At 54.0% G+C, this 20,566-nt stretch overlaps 2 protein-coding genes across 12 annotated transcripts in view, besides 5 other annotated features; one reads left to right on the top strand and one right to left on the bottom strand.

Annotated features, from left to right (window-relative positions):
* The window catches only part of ARHGEF18 (Rho/Rac guanine nucleotide exchange factor 18), a 131,053-nt gene extending 126,685 nt beyond the window's left edge, over nucleotides 1–4,368 (top strand). For both annotated transcript variants that reach the window (XM_011527836.3, XM_047438526.1), the window contains one exon: nucleotides 1,290–4,368. The gene's annotated coding sequence lies outside the window, so the exon portion shown is untranslated. The remainder of the gene's footprint in view (nucleotides 1–1,289) is intronic.
* Nucleotides 1,225–1,860: an enhancer, noted in NCBI's record as "H3K27ac-H3K4me1 hESC enhancer chr19:7541732-7542367 (GRCh37/hg19 assembly coordinates)". NCBI's record gives its function as "activates a minimal SCP1, AML or CMV promoter by ChIP-STARR-seq in primed H9 embryonic stem cells {active_cell/tissue: H9 hESC(primed)}" and the evidence as "EXISTENCE:reporter gene assay evidence [ECO:0000049][PMID:30033119]".
* Nucleotides 1,254–19,356, bottom strand: PEX11G (peroxisomal biogenesis factor 11 gamma). 10 transcript variants are annotated; one of them, XM_011528428.1, is made up of 7 exons: nucleotides 19,316–19,356; nucleotides 15,361–15,501; nucleotides 13,727–13,891; nucleotides 10,217–10,405; nucleotides 6,412–6,590; nucleotides 2,693–2,755; nucleotides 1,254–1,815 (listed from the first exon to the last, which is right to left on the bottom strand). In XM_011528428.1, exons 4-7 carry the CDS (start codon nucleotides 10,253–10,255, stop codon nucleotides 1,581–1,583), a joined length of 516 nt encoding a protein of 171 aa, XP_011526730.1. In that variant the 5' UTR covers nucleotides 10,256–10,405; nucleotides 13,727–13,891; nucleotides 15,361–15,501; nucleotides 19,316–19,356; the 3' UTR covers nucleotides 1,254–1,580. The 10 variants fall into 10 exon arrangements, with proteins under 10 accessions (XP_011526730.1, XP_011526731.1, XP_011526733.1 ...); XM_011528429.3 differs by lacking the exon at nucleotides 19,316–19,356 and adding an exon at nucleotides 19,028–19,227; XM_011528431.3 differs by lacking the exons at nucleotides 15,361–15,501; nucleotides 19,316–19,356 and adding an exon at nucleotides 14,051–14,136.
* Nucleotides 8,084–8,605: an enhancer, noted in NCBI's record as "H3K27ac-H3K4me1 hESC enhancer chr19:7548591-7549112 (GRCh37/hg19 assembly coordinates)". NCBI's record gives its function as "activates a minimal SCP1, AML or CMV promoter by ChIP-STARR-seq in naive H9 embryonic stem cells {active_cell/tissue: H9 hESC(naive)}" and the evidence as "EXISTENCE:reporter gene assay evidence [ECO:0000049][PMID:30033119]".
* Nucleotides 13,161–13,220: a silencer, noted in NCBI's record as "silent region_9982". NCBI's record gives its function as "represses an Ori minimal core promoter by ATAC-STARR-seq in GM12878 lymphoblastoid cells {active_cell/tissue: GM12878}" and the evidence as "EXISTENCE:reporter gene assay evidence [ECO:0000049][PMID:35858748]".
* Nucleotides 13,271–13,600: a silencer, noted in NCBI's record as "silent region_9983". NCBI's record gives its function as "represses an Ori minimal core promoter by ATAC-STARR-seq in GM12878 lymphoblastoid cells {active_cell/tissue: GM12878}" and the evidence as "EXISTENCE:reporter gene assay evidence [ECO:0000049][PMID:35858748]".
* Nucleotides 17,122–17,416: a silencer, noted in NCBI's record as "tiled region #6634; K562 Repressive non-DNase unmatched - State 3:PromF". NCBI's record gives its function as "represses a minimal TATA promoter and a strong SV40 promoter by Sharpr-MPRA in K562 cells {active_cell/tissue: K562}" and the evidence as "EXISTENCE:reporter gene assay evidence [ECO:0000049][PMID:27701403]".
* Nucleotides 19,357–20,566: the final 1,210 nt, after the last annotated feature.

Raw genomic sequence — 20,566 nt, forward strand, 5'->3', positions numbered from 1 at the left:
CTGCTCTGTGCCTGGGCTCCACATGGTCAGTGTCCAAGGCCTTCCCAGCCCAGGCTGTATCCCTGAAGGTGGCTTGCTTTTCCTCCTGGCACCTGTGACCAGGTGGTCATGTGGCTTCCCCACACAGAGGCGCTGCTCCAAGGGCCCCACTGGTATGAGCTAGTAAGTAGTTGGGTCTCCAGGTAGACAATGAGATGCCCTAATCATGCAGGTGCTGCTAGGGGCTGGGAAGGAGGCCTCTGCTGAGGGCCAGGACAGGCCTGCACCCCCGACAAGGGAAAGAAGGGGGAAACCCACCAAGCCTGGCCCACTCGTGAGTCCTGGGCAGAAGGAGCCCCCACAGATGGGGTCTCCCGCACCCGTGTGACCCTGAGCAGTCCCCGGCCTCCCAGCTGCTCAGAGCCACCTGGTATCTTCCTTGTAAAAAACAAACCACAAATGTACTCTGGGAGGCCGAGGCAGGCAGCTCACTTGAAGCCAGGAGTTCAAGACCAGCCTGGGCAATGTGGTGAGACCCTGTCTCTACAAAAAGTTTAAAAATTAGCTGGATTTGGTGATAAACACCTGTAGTTCCTGCTATTCAGGAGGCTGAGGTAGGAGGATCCCTTGAGCCCAGGAGTTTGAGGCTGCAGTGAGGCTATGATCGCACCACTGCACTCCAGCCTGGGTGACAGAGATCCTGGGTCAAAAAGATAAAAATCAAGGCAGTGCAATTGATATCACATGAGGCCCAAGGGCGCACACACACTGGCTGTTGTGTGTTCCTGGGCCAGGCTGTGCAACAATGTCTGCCAGAGGCCACATGTGCACAGACTCTGAAGGGTTGTTCTCAGCCAGCAGACTAAGCAGTGCCCTCATCCCATCCCACCACACATTGGCTGAGGTGGGAGCCCCAAGTATCTTCAGCGATGCCAGTGTGTGTTGCCCAGTCTCAGCCTGGAGCCCTTAAAATGCTCACAGTGGCCCTGCGTCGGCAGCACAGTGGCATGAGGCCACGCCCTCGGGTGGCCTGATGAGAGGTGGCGCCTCTGGCCTGTGTGCCCAGGACTCTGGGGAGTAGAGAACAGCCCTCAATGGCTGGAGGCCACTTGGGGTCCGTGGGCAACGCTTGCTCAAAGATGGAGAGGACCCACCGGGCTGAGGGCATTCCTGAAGGTGGGCTGGGGTAGTGTGGTTTCCAACTTTGGGTCCGTCCTGTGGAGGGTAAGGGGCCAGGAGCCAGCAGTGTAATAACCTTCACCCCTGAGCCAGGCGCCAGCACCACAATGTTTAATTGATTCCCGTTCCAGCTTTCTCAAGGCACGACAGGCCCCCTCTTCCTCATCTTGATTTGGATACAAGACGCCAGCTGGCAGGCAGGAGGTGCTGCTGAAGCCCTGCACGGCCCCTGAAAACTGTCACGGCTCAGGAGCTCCAGGCTGAGGCCTGGGGGACCTCGCATCAGTCCCTCCACCCACCCTGCCCATGGGTTTCACCACAGGCAGCTCCATGAGAGCCCCGGCCCCTGCCCTGGCGGCTTCTGCTTTGCGGGAAGGGCCCTCCGTGGGCTCTGGCTGTGTCCCTGTGCTCTTCCGGCAGTGTCAGGGGGTAGTGGCCTCGGCCTGGCCGCCGGCCCGGGCCGCCTGGTACATGCTGAGGATTGAGGAGATGGTGCCCATGAGGCCCACTAGCCACGGCGGGAAGCGGCCGGCCCACAGCACGCCCCGGGGCAGCCAGTGCACGGCGTTGGCCAGGTCGGCCAGGTTGCTGAGAAGTGACAGCGCCTCCGACTGCATCTGCGCCTCCATGGCCCTCCGCTTGCCCCGGGGCAGCGGGCTGTGGGGCAGAGAGGGGCCGCTTACACTCACGCTCACACCTGCCTGCCCTTCCCAAGCCCCTGAATGCCCTGTGTGGCCTGGCAGCCCTGAGCCCCTGCCTGTGAGTGGGAGGAGCTGGCAGGACTGAGGTGGCCTCCCTGACCATCCACAGAGACTGAGTCCCCATCACCCCCCCGACCCAAGCACGAACAGGGCAGGAACCCGGGTCCAAGTCCTCAAATCCACACCTCACTCCTCGTCCTGAACACCCAGAGATGGGGATTCCTTGTGAAAAACAGAAAGCACAAATGCACTTTGGGAGGTGTGGAGGGAAGGGGGAACCCCCAGGAGCGTGGCCTGTGCCTGCCCGGCCTTTCTTTATCAGGATGACACAGTGACGATAAGCCTGGCCAATATGGCGAGACCCCATCTCCACCAAAAAATAAAAAACAAAATTAGCCAGGCGTGCTGGCCCGTGCCTGTAGTCCCAGCTACTCGGGAAGCTGAAACAGGAGGATCAGTTGAGCCCAGGAGGCAGAGGCTGCAGTGAGCCAAGATGGCACCACTGTGCTCCAGCCTGGGCAACAGAGCAAGACCCTGTCTCAAAAAACAAAAAGAAAAAGCAACAGTAACAATGGCCATGGCCTTCGGGAAATTGATCATTCTCTCCTGCTGGGGGCGCAGCCATGAAGGCTCAGCCCTGGAGTCCCCGCTCAAGCAAGCCTCAGTTTCTCCATCTGTAAAAGGTACCGCCACCCACCAGAGGCTGTGATGACTCCCCCATGACCTGAGCACAACAGTCCCCAGCATGGGCCTGCACAGGGGTGGCTGCGAGCCGGGATCCCACGCCTGCTGGAGGGAGTGGGCCTCCCTGCTGGGTGATCACGGGCTCCTACCTGGTGAAGGGCGCCGTGGGGCTCCGCAGCCTCTGTCTCAGTTTCAGCAGCATCCACAGGGACCTGCAGCACCAGAGCCCGAGGGAGGATGCCCCGGCGGGGAGCAGGAGGGTTAGCTCCACAACGCTGGCCCCGGACATACAGTCTGGGACAGGTGCTGCATCTCGGATAAACGGCCTGCCCTCTCCCTGCCCCCACAGTCCCACACCCTCCTGGCTGTGCCTCATGCTCCCGGGGACTCATCTCTAACACGGCCCCGTCCCACCCGGGACATCGTCCTGCACTTCTGACGTGGCCATCCAGGGCCTGGCCCAGCCTCTGCAAACCACTGGCAAGTGCTCAAAGGAACATCAAGCCCCGTGAGGTGTTCACAGCCTGGCAGGGAGTCCTACACAGAAAAGGATGCCAAGAGGCCCGCAGTTGGACAGGCGTGGGGACGCCGTTTCCCCTCCGGGCCTCAGCTGCCTTGTCTGCTCTGTGTGGAAAGGTCCAAATCAGTGCCATGCCAGCACCCCCTGCACACACACCCCGGACATTGGCTGGACCTGTCTGGATGATCCCCTGGGCCCCCAGGGCTGGCATCTGCAGGCTGAGGAAGGGGCTACCCAGTGGGCAGCCTCTGTGCTCCCAGCAGGCTCTGCAGCCGTGCATGGCACCCACCCGGGCCAGTCCACCAGGCACCTGCACTCTCCAGCCTCGGCCGTGGGGTGTGCCGGGTTGTGACTGTGACAGAATGGGCAGGGCCTGGTCACAACTCCTCTGGCCACTGGGTACCCAGGGTGCAGGATGCAGGATAGCGCCAGTGGCACAGCAGGTGGGAGCCTCCTGGGGGGCTAGGGAAAAACACTGATTCCTGGGCTCCCCAGACCCACAGAATCAGAAGCTCTGGGCCAAGCGCGATGGCTCACACCTGTAATCCCGGGACTTTGGGAGGCCAAGGCCGGTGGATCACCTGAGGTCAGGAGTTCAAGACTAGCCTGGCCAACATGGTGAACCCCTGTCTCTACTAAAAATACAAAAATTAGCTGGGGGTGGTGGTGGGCGCCTGTAATCCCAGGTACTCGGGAGGCTGAGGCAGGAGAATCACTTGACCCCGGGAGGTGGAGGTTGCAGTAAGCCAAGATCGCACCACTGCACTCCAGCCTGGGCGACAGAGGAAGACTGTGTCTCAAGAAAAGAATCAGAAGCCCTGGGCGCCGGACCCAGGCATCTCCATTTAGCAACCTCCTGGCTGATGCTCCGGCAGCCCTGGGCCTTAGGGCAGATGTCTGGTCATGATGAGCACACATGGAATGCTCTCCACCCACTCCCCCTGCTCACTGCAAATCCAGAGAAATGATGAAAAACCACATGCCCGAAACAAGAATGCCGCAGCAGGCGGGGCACACAGGACTTCGATGGCCGTGAAACAATTCCATTTGATTCTGCAAGGGGGGACACGTGTCAGTGTCCAAACCCATAGGATGCCCAAAACCTAGCGTGAACCCTAACGTGAGCTACTCACTTGGGGTGATGATGGATCCATGGAGGGGCATCAGTTGTAACAAATGCACCATGTGGATGCTGCCAGTAGTCGGGGAGGCTGTGTGTGGGGGTATATGGGAGCTCTCTGAACGTTATGCTCAATTTTGCCATGAGCCTAAAACTGCTCTAAAAAAATAAAGTCTGGGCCGGGAGTGGTGGCTCACGCCTATAATTCCAGCACTTAGGGAGGCCAAGGCAAGTGGATCACCTGAGCCCAGGAGTTGGAGACCAGTCTGGGCAACATGGCAAAACCGTGTCTCTACAGAAAAAAAATTACAAAAATTAGCCAGATATGGTGGCACAGCCTGTGGTCCCAGCCACTCAGAAGGCTGAGGTGGGAGTATTGTTTGAGCCCAAGGGGCGGAGGTTGCAGTGGGTCAAGATTGAGCCACTGCTTTTCAGCCTGTCTCAAAAAAAAAAAAAAAGTTTATTTAAGCAAAAAAGAAAGGAACCAAGGCTGCCCCTAAAATACAAACCAGAGGTCACGAGGCACCCAGAGGAAGGTGGCGGAAGAGAGGCTGTGAGCCAAGGCCCCCCTCTGACCGGAGCCCCAGGAACATCCAGGCTGGGCCCAGGCACCCTCCCCCAGGTCTCCCAGCACACAGGGAAGGCCAGCAGCACAGACACCGCTGCCTCCAGGGGCCATGGCCATGAAACATGACCCTTTTGAGACAGCCAAAATGCACAGGCAGGGTATTAGGTCAAAGGCTGGAAAAGAACCACCCAAGCTTGAACAGTGGGAGTCTGGGTTGGATTGTGGGTAATTCGAATCTTCTACTCTGAGGTTTATCTATTTTCCAGATTGTCTACGGTAAGCATGTAATTAGGACATCTGTGCCGGGGGGAAAACAAGAACTACTGAGAGTCAGAGCCTCGACCAGGGACAAGCAAAGCTTCCCCCAGAAAAAGGACACAGCCTGCCTGAGGCTGGGGGCAGCCGCACCTCACCCCAGCGATCTAAGAGCCCTTCACAGCCACTGAAACATGGAGACCAGGGGGCCCAGCTCCTGCTGGTGTTTTCAGGGGCAGGGGATTCTGACTCAGCGCATTTGCAAAGAGGAAAATGTTTGGGAGGAAACCATTACTAGAAAGTTCTAGAAACTATATGGTTTTTTGGAGGCACAGAACTAGTCAGGAAACTGCTGACTGTTTTCTCTGGGGTGTCGGCTGACAGCAACGCCAGCAAGACTCAGGGACCCGGGTAAAGGCCACTCCGCTGGCTGCTTCTCACAGGCCCTGGAGTTACTTCTTCTTTCTAAGTGTGGTCAGCAGAGTCATGACCCCTTCTAAAATGTCCATGTCCTGAACCTGTCAACATGTTCACCTCCAAGGCAAAGGATATTTTGCCGATGGGATTAAGCTAAGGATTTTTTCTTTTTTTGACACGGAATCTTGCTCTGTCGCCAGGCTGGAGTGCAGGGGTGTGATCTCGGCTCACTGCAACCTCCACCTCCCCAAATTCAAGCAATCCTCCTGCCTCAGCCTCCCAAGTAGCTGGGATTACAAGTGTGCACCACCAAGCCCAGCTAATTTTTTGTATTTTTAGTAGAGACAGGGTTTCACCATGTTGGCCAGGCTGGTCTAGAACTCCTGGGCTCAAGTGATCCACCCGCCTTGGCCTCCCAAAGTGCTGGGATTACAGGCATGAGCCACCACGCCCAACCTAAGCTAAGGATCTTGAGATGGGGTATTACCCTGGATCATCCAGGTGGTCCCCATGTCATCATAGGGGTCCTTATAGGAGGGAGGAAGGAGGATGAGGGTCAGGGAAGGAGGTGTGACGCTGAAAGCAGAGGTCATGCTTGGAAGATGAAGGAAGGGGCCATGAGCCAAGGAATGTGGGTGGCCTCCAGAAGCTGGAAAATCCAAGGAAACGGACCTCCCCCTGGGACCTCCAGAAGGCATCAGCGCCTGCTGACACTAGCCCAGGGAGTGTTCTGACTTCCAGCCTTCAGAATCCTAAGATAAGAAGTTTCTGTTGCCCAGCACTACAGAGTTGTGCTAATTTGTTCCGACAGTTATTCTAAACAAATACACCCACAAAAGGAAGAAACAACAAAACCTCCAAGGAAAACTCTAAGAGGCAAAGACCCACCGCAGTCTGAAGCCTGTGCTGTTGCTGGGGCCGCTGCCACTTTGCTAAGGAGGCACCGCCCAGGGACCTTGGGTGCTCCCTTCTGGCCCATGCCACTTACCTGGCAACCCCCAGGAGCAGAGAGAGGGCCCACAGGGTTGTACTCAGCGTCCACCACCGAGAAGAGTCCACGTGGAGGACCCGGGCATCAGCCGCCCAGGCCACGTGCTCACAGGGGTAGTAGAGCTGGTCAGCCAGGTTCCCTAGGACGGAGACACAGCGGACAAAGGCGTCCTCCTCCTGCAGGACCAGGAGCAGAGGGGGCCTAGGGTCAGACTTACCCACTGCCCATTTTAGCACCGTAGCCATGCCAGGTGGCAGAGAGCTATTTCCTGACCCCAGTCCCTGGGCCGTGTCCAGGCCTGGCAGGCCCCGCGGGAGAAAGGCTCTGGGGCTGGGGTCCCCGCACAGGCCTGATTTCTGTGTCTCGGCAGCACGGTGCTCAGTGCCCCTTGGAGGGAGGCTCTCAACGCAGCTGTGCAGTGCAGTCCTCTGCAGAGCTTCAAAAACCCCATGCCCAATGCCAGCCGTGAGGATTCTGCCTCACTCAGCCTGGGGCAGGCCCCAGTACCGGGAATTTTCACAGGGAATTTTCACATTCCCAGGGGATTCCCAGGCCAAGTTGGGAGCCCTGTGTCAGAGCCTTCCTTCCCAAAGGCTTCCAGTTCCTGCACAGGTGGGGACCTCTGTTGCCAGACTCTATGCAGGGAGCATGAGGTGGCCCGCAGCGAACCCTGACCAGGCTGAGATGGTGTGCCAACCCTTGGGCCACCGCACGCCCACTGCTGACCACGCGCCAGGCACAGTGCGGCAAGGCTCATGGCCTCCCTCAACTCCGAGCAAGTTACAGACGGCCACGCTGAGGCTCTCAGGGAAAGCCGCTGGCCCCCAGTTCCGGCAGGGATGGGCCTCCAGGCCCTCGAATTGCAATGCACACGCGGGCTCTCGGTCCTGCACAGTGCCCATACCCTCTGCCCCAAGTTCTTAATCACACGGCCTAGAGCCAGCGAGGCAGGACCAGTTGAGGCTGTAGAAACCAGCGCTGAAGCCTGGTTTCTGGGACTGGAGCCCCGCAGCCAACCGGGGGACCCGCCCCCTTGGGACCCCACCCCCCTTGGGACCCCGCCCACCGTGACCCCGCCCCATCGGAGCCCCGCCCCCTCTACCTTTATCCTCCTTGTTACCTGCCACACCCTTCCCCTCCTCTCTGACTTCCCAGGAAGCTCCTCCCCGCCCCCACCGCTGATTCCAGATGCTGCTCTCCTTCTTTCTGGCCAGTCATGATCCTACCTCCCTCCGGGCTCTGAACCTCACTCCAGCTTCCCTCATCTGCCTGGCGCGTCCTGGCACATTGCCCACCTCCCTGAGGATGGCGGACCCCGCCCCAATGTGCTCATTCCGCCCGGATTTCCTGAGAAGCGGCAGGGTCCAGGCTAGACTCTGGGGAGGGGCAGAGGCTCACCAGGGCAGGGAGGAACGCAGACATATAAACCGGGAACCCAACAAACAGGGCTCTTGTTCTGGCCAAGGGACACTCGAGGTGCAAGGGCCTCCACCCCTTGCCTGAGGGCTCTTCCACAGAGGGCATAGAGGAACGAGGGGTCTCAGGGATGCACCAGAGCGCTGTCCTAATCAGACACGGAGGAGGAGGATGCTATAGGTGTCAAAACAGGAAGGCGGCCCACAGCAACACTTATGATATAGGATGATCAGGCCAAGGACACGTGGTGCTGAACACGGTGGGGTTGGGATTTCGGGGCGGGGAGCACCTGAGTAGCAAGTGGCTCAGAGAGGTGATCCCTGGGAGGACAGAGAGAACAGACAGGGCAGCCCAGGGAGGGGCAGGACGCTGAGAGGCTGGCCCACGCAGCCTCTGAGATCATCCCGTGGGGGGCAAGATGGCTCTCTAGATAGGCTGGCACGCCTGTGGGACGCCGCAGGGACAAGGCTACTCTCTGCAGCACTGTCGCAATAGCAAAACCTTAGAAATCATTGCCCTGTGCGTCAACCAGAGGCCAATTAAATAAATCCGAAGCTGCATAGCAGAGCACTATGTGGTCCTGAGAACGCAGCTCTTTCTAGACCGATAAGAAATGATCTGTGGCCAGGCGCGGTGGCTCACGCCTGTCATCCTAGCACTTTGGGAGGCGGGGCAGGTGGATCACTTGAGCCCAGGAGTTCAAGGCCAGCCTGGGTAACATGGCAAAACCCTGTCTCTACAAAAGATACAAAAAATTAACCAGGTGTGGTGGTGCACCTGCAGTCCCAGCTATTCCGGAGGCTGAGGTAGGAGGATCACCTGAGCCCGGGAAGTCAAGGCTGCAGCGAGCCATGATCACGCCACTGTACTCCAGGCTGAGTGACAGAGTGAGACCCTGTCTCCAAAAAAAAAGAAAGATAAAGAAATGATGCCGAAGCTGTACCGTTAAGTGAAAAAAGCACTGTTTATGTAAACCATATGTATTTGCCTATGCGAGTACAGGAAATCTCACAAAGGAGACACAAGAAGCTGACCACAGGGCCGGGCACGGTGGCGCACACCTGTAATCCCAGCAGTTTGGGAGGCTGAGGCAGGTGGATCACTTGAGGTCAAGAGTTCGAGACTAGCCTGGCCAACATGACAAAACCCCGTCTCTACTAAAAATACAAAAATTAGCCAGGCATGGTGGGGGGTGCCTGTAATCCCAGCTACGTGAGGGGCTGAGGCAGAAAAATCATTTGAATCCCGGAGGCAGAGGTTGCAGTGAGCCGAGATCACGCCACTGCACTCCATCCTGAGTGACAGAGTGAGACCTTGTCTCAAAAAAAAAAAAAGAAGCTGACCACAGTGGCTGCCTCTGTGGGGAAAAATTGGAGGCCTGGAAGATCAGGAAGGAGGGAGGTTTTTTAAAATTATATCCTCCTTTGGAATGTGTGAACGTTTGCTATTTTTAAAAATTTAAATCAAAATGAGAACATCTGATCCTCTCAAAGAAGAAAGTGAAATTTTTAAAAGTAATAAACTACCCACGCAGGGAGCACTTTGGGACAAGACTATAAAACGCCCATGGTGGCTCACGCCTGCCATCCCAGCACTCAGGGAGGCTAAGGCGGGAGGACCACCTGAGCCCAGGAGTTCAAGGCTGCAGTGAGCTATGGTCACTCCACTGCACTCCAGCCTGTATGACAAAGCAAGACCCTGTCTATAAAAAAAATTTTTTTTGTTTGTTTTATTTGAGATGGAGTCTCGCTCCATTGCCCAGGCTGCCAGTGCAGTGGCACAATTCTCGGCTCATGGCAACCTCCACCTCCCAGGTTCAAGTGATTCTCCTGCCTCAGCCTCCCAAGTAGCTGGAACTACAGGCACACGCCACCATGCCAGGCTAATTTTTGTATTATCAGTAGAGACAGGGTTTTTTTTTTTAGACGGAGTCTCGCTCTGTCGTCCAGGCTGGAGTGCAGTGGCGCGATCTCGGCTCACTGCAAGCTCCACCTCCCGGGTTCAGGCCATTCTCCTGCCTCAGCCTCCTGAGTAGCTGGGACTGCAGGCGCCTGCAACCACACCTGGCTAATTTTTTGCATTTTTAGTAGAGACGGGGTTTCACTGTGTTAGCCAGGACGGTCTCCATCTCCTGACCTCGTGATCCGCTCGCCTCAGCCTCCCAAAGTGCTGGGATTACAGGCATGAGCCACTGCACCCAGCCGAGACAGGGTTTTACCATGTTGGCCTGGCTGGTCTCGAACTCCTGACCTCATGATCCGCCAGCCTTGGCCTCACAAAGTGCTGGGATTACAAGCATGAGCCACTGTGAGGGGCCAAAAAATTTTTTAAAAAATGTCCACTCAGGTCCGCACCCTACTCCCTAGAGCCCCACAAACCCTGTTACCTGTGCCCCCAGGCCATATTGCTTAGTGTAGACAAACATGGCCAGGTCATCAAAGAGTCGCAAGATGGTCCTGCAGTGGCTGAGTTGGGTGGACACCACCAACAGACGTGTCCCCACTTCGGACCTGGCGGGACACTGTTCAACCAGAACTCCACCAACCAGCTGGCAGCAGTACCCCAGCACTCGGATCTGTGGGAAACCAGAAGCAGTCAGTGTGGCCCTCCTGTTCTGCAGAACTGAGCTGCATCCCCCCATACCTGGCCCCGGGCCCCGCTGGATTGAGAGTGTGGAAGATTCTCTTTTTTTTTTGAAAGAGTCTCACTCTGTCATCCAGACTGGAGTGCAGTGGCACGATCTCGGCTCACCGCAGCCTCCATCTCCCATGTTCAAGCAATTCTTGTGCCTCAGCCTCCCCAGTAGCTGGGATTACAGGCGCCCACCACCACACCCTGCTAATTTTTATATTTTTTGTAGAGACAGGGTTTCACCAGGTTGGCTAGGCTGGTCTCAAACTCATAACCTCAGTGATCCACCTGCCTTAGCCTCCCAAAGTGCTGGGATTACAGGCATGAGCCACCGTGCCTGACCCAAGAGTTTGGAAGATTCTAAATCTACAAAGTGACAGTAAAAGCTGAAAGTTTAGGTGGGGCACAGTGGCTCACACCTGTAACCCCAGCACTTTGAGAAACCGAGGTGAGAGGATGCCTTCACACCAGGAGTTTGAGACCAGCCTGGGCAACATAGCAAGACCCTGTGTCTACCAAAAAAATTTTTTTTTTTGAGACGGAGTCTTGCTCCGTCACCTAGGCTGGAGTGCGGTGGCGCGATCTCGGCTCACTGCAAGCTCCACCTCCCGGGTTCATGCGATTCTCCTGCCTCAGCCTCCCGAGTAGCTGGGACTACAGGCACCCGCCACCAAGCCCACCTAATTTTTTGTATTTTTAGTAGAGATGGGGTTTCACCATTTTAGCCAGGATGGTCTTGATCTCCTGACCTCATGATCCACCCGCCTCGGCCTCCCAAAGTGCTGGGATTACAGGCGTAAGCCACCGCGCCTGGCTACCAAAAATTTTTTTAAGTTAACAGGGCATGGTGGTTACTTGGGAGGCTGATGCTGGAGGATCACTTGAGCCCAGGAGTTCCAGACTGTAGTGAGCTGTAATCGTGCTACTACACTCCAGCCTGGGCAACAGGGCGAGACCCTGTCTAAAAAAAGAAAAAGAAAAAGAAAAAAAAAGCTGGAAGTTTAAAAACATACTTGGAGGTGGGACAAATGAAGAAACATGACATCATTGATGTAACTGAAGGGCACAGCCTTTGGGAACAGATGTGACAGGAACAAAGAAAACAAAGCTCCTTACTTCCCACCTCCTAGGTCCTTCTTTTCCCAGGTGGCAGGAAGCCACAGCTAAAGTGTATATTTACATCTACCTGCCTGGACCAAAGCCTTTGGATGTGCTGAATGGTGGGCACAGGTGATCAGGCCTCAACCCAGTGAACAACAGGATAATTTGGTAGAATTACTTTAGAGAGAAAGAACCTACTCAGTAGGTGATGTGGAGCCTTCTGAAATAGGTCATCTTCACTACTCAGATCTTTTTTCTTTTGGAGACAGAGTCTTGCTCTGCTCCCCAGGCTCGAGTGCAAAGGTGTGAGCTCACTGCAACCTCTGCATCCCAGGTTCAAGCAATTCTCCCGCCTCAGCCTTCCAAGTAGCTGGGACTACAGGCACGCACCACCACATCCGGCTAATTTTTGTATTTTAGTAGAGACGAGGTTTCATCACTTTTCCCAGGCTGGTCTCAAACTCCTGAGCTCAGACAATCCACCCAGCTCAGCCTCCCAAAGTGCTAGGATCACAGGCGCGAGCCACCACGCCTGGCCTCCCTTATATCTTTATTTTACCTGCTTTTCAGAAATTGCTTGTTCCTGTTGTTTTATTTATTTTTACTTGTAATTCCTTTCCAGCCCCATTATAATGGCAAAACACTGCAATCTGAATGTTCAACTCGGGGGAGATTTGTTAACCCACCCCCCCAATCATAAGATATTTGAATGGAATCTAAATGCCTAGCCACCAGTACACCGCCTGGTACAACCTGAATGTCTACCTATAAGAGACTGGTGGGGACAAGCTAAGAGTCCAGACTCAGGGGCATGGATGGCATAACCTAAATGTTCAACCATATGGGACTTGATTGGAACTAAAAACTGTCCAGCCATAGGGAGAGTCTTGCAATATCCTAAATCCCCACATGAGATTGTTTGGGACAACCCAGGGACCAACTACAGTGGCCCGGTCAGATCCTAAATGTCCAAACATGGGAATCTGTTTGGTATGTAAACGTCCAGCCAGGCTGGGTTGGCAGAGACGATCTAAATGACCAACTGGGGTTTTGTTGGAACCCATCGCTGCTTAGGCATGGCAGGGCCCAGGCCATGGCGTGTTCTTTGGTCTAGGTTGGCTGAAACAACCTAAATGCCCAACTATAGGGAATCTGGTTGGAAGTGAATGTCCAGCCACAGGGGAGCCCTGCAACATCCCAAATCCCAACACGAGATTGTTCAGGACAACTTCAGTGGCCTGGTCGGATCCAAAACGTCCAAACACGGGAATCTGGCCAGTGTGTCAATGTCCAGACAGGTTGGGTTGGCAGAAACTATCTAAATGTCCAACGCTGGCCAGACGCGGTGGCTCACGCCTGTAATCCCAGCACTTTGGGAGGCCGAGGCAGGTGGATCGCTTGAGGCCAGGAGATCGAGACCATCCTGGCTAACACGATGAAACTCCGTCTCTACTAAAAATACAAAAAAATAGCAGGGAGTGGTGGCGGGCGCCTGTAGTCCCAGCTACTCGGGAGTGCTGAGGCAGGAGAATCGCTTGAACCCGGGAAGCGGAGGCTGCAGTGAGCAGAGATCGCACCACTGCACTCCAGCCAAAATAAATAAATACATAAATGTCCAATGCTAGGGCACCGCATTTGAGCCTAGCTCGGACGGGGCCTCTGCGACGGAGTATCCTGGGCGACCCCGTCCCCTCTCTGGCCCGTTTCCCAGTCTCTGAGCTTGGGCCAAACTCTAGGACCTCCGGCCCCGGTCCGCCCCTGCCTCACCAGGCGGTCCCGGCCCCTGTACGACTCCAGCGCCGACGCCAGGCCGCTCAGCGACGCCATGGCAACTCCGTGACGTCACCGCGACGTCGGCGCGCCGCGCCAGGGGGCGGGGCCAGGCCGGGGTACCGGGAGCGCCCCAAAGGCTTGCGCGCAGGCGCGGCCGCAGGCCTTTGTCCCCCTGACCGGCTTTTTGTCCGCTGTAGGGGAGGGACAGAGTTTGCAGAGGTGGGGCCGACACGTGTGTGCTCTCCAGGCCTGCAGACCCTGGATCATCCTCGGAGTTTGCTGCATTCTGCCCCACGGCGGTTTGGCCAACTACCCACGCACAAAAAAATATATTTCTAAGTTTAACCAACTACCCACACGCTCCAAAAATATTCCAAGCAAAACCACCAACCTGTTCGCAGTGGTTCAAGGAGAGATTTTCCTTTTTAGTTTTTGTGCTTCACCTTTTCTGCACTGTCTGCCTGCCCGTAGTGAGCAGGAATGACTGCTGTAATATCACAACAAGGCATCTTTCGACGTTAAGGAAAGACGTTATCTTTGGACGTTAAGAATTGTTCTAGAATACATAAATAAAAAATAAAAATGCACAATTCAGTGACATTAGTACATGCACATGTTGGACAACCATCACCCCTTGCTAGTTTCGGGGTATTTTTATCACCCCCAAGAGAGACCCCCGTAGGAGACCAGCATATGCCCCTCTGAAATATGCGACCTTGGTGTAGGATTATTTTGAGCTGAGATCAATGAAGCTGATACCGGAAAAGCTCTCTGTTCTTCCCTGATTTGCCTCAAAGCAGGACCTAAAGGTACAAAGGTGCCCTCCTCCCCTCTCTACCAGGAAGGACAAAGGTTGATCACCAGGGACACCTTTAGACTCTTGTCTGGAGACGTCTTTTTTTTTTTTTTCTTTTTTTTTGAGACGGAGTCTTGCTCTGTCCCCAAAGCTAGAGTGCAGTAGCGCCATCTCTGCTCACTGCGTCCTCCGCTTCCCTGGTTCAAGCGATTCTCGTGCCTCAGCTTCCCAAGTAGCTGGGATCACAGCTGTGCACCACTGTGCCCGGCTAATTTTTGTATTTTTGGTAGAGTCGGGGTTTCACCACGTTGGCCAGGCTGTTCTCAAATTCCTGGCCTCAAGTGATCCGCCCGCCTCGGCCTCCCAAAGTGCTGGGATTACAAGCGTGAGCCACCGCACCCGGCCTCAATGTCCTTTTCCTTCGTCTTGTCACTTCTCCAAAAATTTGCTGCTATATGTTGAAGGTGCTATATAAGCAGGAGTTATATAAGCTATATAAGCCACCTCATTTCTCTTGGCATCTCCCATGTACACATAAGGTACACATGTTAATAAATTTGTTTTTCCCTTGTTAATTTTTTTTTTTTAGACGGAGCCTCGCTCTGTCGCCCAGGCTGGAGTGCAGTGGCACGATCTCGGCTCACTGCAAGCTCCGCCTCGCGGGTTCACGCCATTCTTCTGCCTCAGCCTCCCGAGTAGCTGGCACTACTACAGGCGCCCGCCACCACGCCTGGGTAATTTTTTTTTTTTTTTTTTTTTTGTATTTTTAGTAGAGACGGGGTTTCACCGTGTTAGCCAGGATGGTCTTGATCTCCTGACCTCGTGATCCGCCCGTCTCTGCCTCCCAAAGTGCTAGGATTACAGGCGTGAGCCACCGCGCCTGGCCTCTATTTTTTTTTTTTTTTTTTTTTTTTTTTTTTGAGACAGGGCCTCGCTCTGGGAGGAACCAAATTTGTAGATGTGAAGCCGCCACTTGTGTGCTCTCTGGGCCTGAGGACCCAGGATGATGCCCAGAGCTTGCTACATTCTGCCCCATGGTAGCTTGACCAACTACCCACAAAAAAGGGGTAGAGTGCAGCGGCACGATCTTAACTCACTGCAGCCTTGAACTCCTGGGATCAAGCCATCCTGCCACCTCAGCATCCTGAGTAGGTGGGACCACAGGTGCCTGCCACCACAATTGGCTAATTTCTTTTTATTTTTTATTTTTTGTAGAAATGGAGTCTTACCATGTTACCCAGGCTGGCCTTGAGCCCTGGGCTTAAGCAATCTTCCCACGTCGACCTTCCAAAGTGCTGGAATTACAGGCGTGAACCACCGCACCCGCCCTTCTTAATTCTTTCATTGCAAGGATCCATCACAGCTAAGAACTAAGAATAAAGGAAAAAGTATGTTTCCTCCCCTACACCCTGTTCCCATAAAGCAATCACTCAATTCCTCCCTCCTCCCAGCCCCTGGCAACCACTAATCTGCATTCTCTGCTGTCTCTCTGTATTTTTACCACTTCTTGATTTTTTTTTTTTTTTTTTTTTTTTGAGACAGAGTCTCACTCTGTCACCCAGACTGGAGTGCAGTGGCATGATCTCAGCTCACGGCAGCCTCCGCCTCCCAAGTTCAAGCAATTCTCCTGCCTCGGCCTCCCAAGTGGCTGAGAGTACAGGTGCGCACCACCACACCCGGCTAATTTTTGTATTTGTAGTAGAGATGGATTTTACCATGTTGGCCAGGCTGGTCTTGAACTCTTGACCTCAAGGGATCTGCCTGCCTCGACCTCCCAAAGTGCTGGGATTACAGGCATGAGCCACCATGCCCGACCTCCTTGATATTTCATACAAATGGAATCATACAATATGTGACCATTTGTGTCGGCCTCTTCCACCAAGCATAATAGGTTGTTTTGGTTTTTGCTTTTTGTTTTTGAGACAGGGTCTTGCTGTGTCACCAGGCTGGAGTGCGGTGGTGTGATCATAGCTCACTGCAGCCTTGAACTCCTGGGCCTGAGAGATCCTCCTGCCTCAGCCTCCACATTGCCTGGGACTACAGGTGCACGCCACCACATCTGGCCAATTTTTAAAATTTTTCTTTTGTAGAGATGCGGTCTCGCTATGTTCACCAGGCTGGTTTCGACCTCCTGGACTCAAGGGATCCTCCTGCCTTGGCCTCCCAAAGTGCTGGGATTACAGGTGTGAGCCACTGCGTGCAGCTGAGCATAATGGTGTTGAGGTTTGTCTAAGTTGCAGCATGTATCAGAAATTCATTCCACTTGCAGCTATATAACATTGCGCCATATGGATGGACCACATTTTGTTTATCCACGTATCAGCTGATGGTCATTTGGGCTGTTTCTGCCTTTTAGCGATCGTGAATAAGTACAGCTATAAACATTTGTGAATATGTAGTTGGAGTCCCTGGATTCCATTCCTTTGGGTCTATACCTAGAAGTGGGGTTGCTGGGTCATTTTGTAACTCTATGTTGAACTTTTTGAGTAATTGCCCAACTGTTTCCCACAGTAGCAGTACCATTTTCCATCCCCACCAGCATTACACAAAGGTTCCAATTTCGCCACTTCCTTGCAACATCCTTTTTTGATTATGATAGCCATCGTAGTAGGTGTGACGTGCCACCCCATTGTGGTTTTGTTTTGCCTTTTCCTGATGACTAATGATGTCAACGAGTCTGTTTGTTGGTTTGTTTGAATTTTTTTTTTTGAGACAGAGTGTCACTCTATTGCCTAGGCTGGAGTGCAGTGCTGATCTCAGCTCACTGCAACCTCCACCTCCCAGGTTCAAGCGATTCTCATGCCTCAGCCTCCCAAATAGCTGGGATTACAGCACACCCGCCACTGTGCCCGGCTAATTTTAGACTTTTAGTAGAGACGGGGTTTCGCCATGTTGGCCAGGCTGGTCTCCAACTCCTGATCTCAAGAAATCTGCCCACCTCGGCCTCCCAAAGTGCTGGGATTATAGGCGTGAGTCACCGCGTCTGGCCTCGATGTTAACCAGTTTTCTTTCACAGAATATTTCCTCTTGATTTCAACTCTTGTTACTCTTCTCCTGCATTGCTTTCCTCCTGTTGTTTAAAGTTACAGCAGATTCCTGCCTCAGGAACTTTGCATGTTCTGTTTCCTCTGCAGAAATGTTCTTGAGCCAGATACCAACGTGGCTCCCTCCTTCCCTAACTTCCTTTACTCGAATGTCATCCTCTCACGGGACCCACCCGATCACACCCTCCTGGACACTTCCTACCCATGTTACCTGCTGGTGACCTGTCTTGTTCATGGCTATATCCGCACAGCCTGGCAGAAAACAGAGAATCTGTTTTGTAAGTTTCACTGCCCTGTCCAAAGATCTCTTCTTGTGCTCCAAGGGAGCATGGAACACAAGGGGGCACAAGAAAGGCCTTGTCCACTCCTGTGATTTTCTTCCTCTCTGTCTCTCTCTCTTTCTGTTTTTGTTTTTAAACAGAGTCTCACTCGGTTGCCCAGGCTGGAGTGCAGTGGCATGATTTCGGCTCACTGCCATCTCCACCTCCCGGGTTCAAGCAATTCTCCTGCCTCAGCCTCCCAACCAGCTGGGATTACAGGCACCTGCTACCACGCCCCCACTAATTTTTGGAGTTTTTAATAGAAATAGGGTCTCACCATGTTGGCCAGGCTGGTCTCAAACTCCTGGGCTCAAGTGATCCACCCACTTCGGCCTCCCAAACTGCTGGGATTACAGGCATGGGCCACCATGCCCAGCCTCTTTTTTTTTTCTTCTTGTTTGTTTTTGAGACAGGGTCTCGCTCTGTTGCCCAGGCTGGAGTGCAGTGGCATGATCATAGCACCACTGCTGCATTGAACTCCTGGGTTCAAGTGATCCTCCATCCTCAGCCTCCCATAGCACTGGGATTACAGGTGTGTGCCACCACACCTGGCCCCAAGAGACTCTTTAACTTCCACATCCAGCTCCTTTTAAGACTTGGGTCCACTGGCTGAGCTCAGTGACTCACACCTGTAATCCCAATACTTTGGGAGGCCAAGGCAGGTGGATCACTTGAGGTCAGGAGTTGGAGACCAGCCTGGCCAATATGGTGAAACCCCGTCTCAAAAAAAAAAAAAAGACTTGGGTCCACGGGTCTTTGTGCACTCCCCTCTCCCCCAGTGGGGGGGTCACTCTTTTTTTTTTTTTTTAGAGTCAGAGTCTCGCTCTGTCACCCAGGCTGGAATACAGTGGTATGATCTTAGCTCACTGCAACCTCTGCCTCTGGGTTCAAGTGATTCTCCTGCCTCAGCCTCCCAAGTAGCTAGGATTACAGGCACCCACCACCACGCCCAGCTAATTTTTGTATTTTTAGTAGAGATGGGGTTTTGCCCTGTTGGCCAGGCTGGTCTCGAACTCCTGACCTTGGGGAATCCTCCCATCTCAGCCTCCTAAAGTGCTGGGATTACAGGCATGAGCCACTGCGCCCAGCCACGGGGTCACTGTTTTCACAGCAGAAAAATTGAAGCCAAGCCAGCTGCAGTGGCCTGTGCCTGTGGTCCCAGCTACTCAGGAGTCTGAGGCACGAGAATCGATTGAATCCAGGAGGTGGAGGTTGCAGTGAACCGAGATCACGCCACTGCACTCCAGCCTGGGCGTCAGCAAGACCCATCTCTAAAAAAGTAAAACAAAAAAAAATCCAAAGCCAAGGTCCAGACATGCAGAGGAAAGAGGTCACTGGCCGCAAAGCCTGCTGCTGCATGAATAAGCAGATCCCTCCTCTCAGGCCCAAGAGCCTTGGAACAGCGCAATGCATTTGCCCGAATGCTTCCTGTGTGCCGGGTCCCGCTCTAGGCAACAGAGATACAGCAGTGAGCTTTGCAGACACAGCCCAGCCCTCCCAGCGTCCCCCATCTGGCTAGGTCTGAGCTCGACCTTTGAAAAAGACACAGGAGCTGGCCTGGTGTTCACAGCTGGCCTTGGTGTTGCTAGGAGCTGGCCTGGCAGTCAAAGCAGGGCCCTGGTGTCCTCCTGCTGGACATAAACAATCTCACATGACGCCGACATCAGACAAGGCCACTCTGTGACCGCGGCAGAGCAAGACAAAACAAGCCTGCTCCATAATCATGTCTGAACACAGGCAAAACACGAACACTGTCCACACTATCAGAGTAACTGGACCTCCTCTGCTACTAGCTAATACCAGCAACGGCTGTTCCTTACCAAGCACAGCTTTAGTCTTCTGACTTCTTTCTTTCTTTCTTTCCTTCCTTCCTTCCCTCCTTCCCCTCCCTCCCTCCTTCCTTCCTTCTTCCTTCCTTTCCCTCCCTCCCTGCTTCCTTCCCTCCTTCTCTCCCTCCCTCCTTCCCTCCTTCTTTCCTTCTTCCTTCCTTTCCCTCCCTTCCTCCCTCCTTCCTTCCCTTCGTCCTTCCTTCCTTCCTTCCAGCTCCCAGCTTCCCTGGAGCTCTAAGGAGGCAGGATTTGCACAAAAAACAAAACCGTGCCCCCAAAACACCTAACAGAACTGCAGATCCCAAATCCCTCCCTCCCTCCCTCCCTCGCTCCCTCCCTTCCTTCCTTCCCTCCCTCTCTCCTTCCTTCCTTCTGACTTCTTCATACAGATGATTAAGATGCTGAATAATAGTTACTTCTCTCCCTAGCTGCTCTTTTGTTTTGTGTTGTTTCTGAGACAGAGTCTCACTCTGTCACCCAGGCTGGAGTGCAGTGGCGGAATCATAGCTCACTGCACCCTCACTGCAACCTCAATGTCCTGGGTTCAAGAAATCTTCCCACCTTAGCCTCCCAAGTAGCTGGGACTATAGGCACGCGCCACCGCACCTGGCTTTTTAATTTTTTATAGAGATAGGGTCTCACTGTGTTGCCCAGGCTGGTCTCAAACACCTGGGCTCAAGCAGTCCTCCCGCTTCAGCCTCTCAAAGTGATGGGATTACAGGCCTGAGGCACTGCACTCAGCCGCCCTTGCTTCTTTTTTTTTTTTTGAGACAGAGTTTTGCTCTGTGGCCCAAGCTGGAGTGCAGTGGCACGATCTCAGTTCACTGCAACCTCCACCACCTGGGTTCAAGCGATTCTCCTGCCTCAGCCTCCTGAGTAGCTGGGATTACAGGTGCCCGCCACCATGCCCAGCTAGTTTTTTTTTTCTTTGAGACAGAGTTTTGCTCTTGTCTCCCAGGCTGGAGTGCAATGGCGTGATCTCAGCTCACTGCAACCTCCGCCTCCTGGGTTCACGCAATTCTCCTGCCTCAGGCTCCTGAGTAGCTGGGAATACAGGTGCCCGCCACCACACCCGGCTATTTTTTATATTTTTAGTAGAGACAGGGTTTCACCATGTTGGCCAGGCTGGCCTCGAACTCCTGACCAAAGGAGATCCGCCTGCCTCAGCCTCCTGAGTAGCGGGGATTACAGGCGTGAGCCACCACGCCCGGCTAATTTTTGTATTTTCAGTAGAGACAGGGT

Source organism: Homo sapiens, chromosome 19, assembly GCF_000001405.40.
Source record: "Homo sapiens chromosome 19, GRCh38.p14 Primary Assembly".
Classification (NCBI taxonomy): domain Eukaryota; kingdom Metazoa; phylum Chordata; class Mammalia; order Primates; family Hominidae; genus Homo; species Homo sapiens.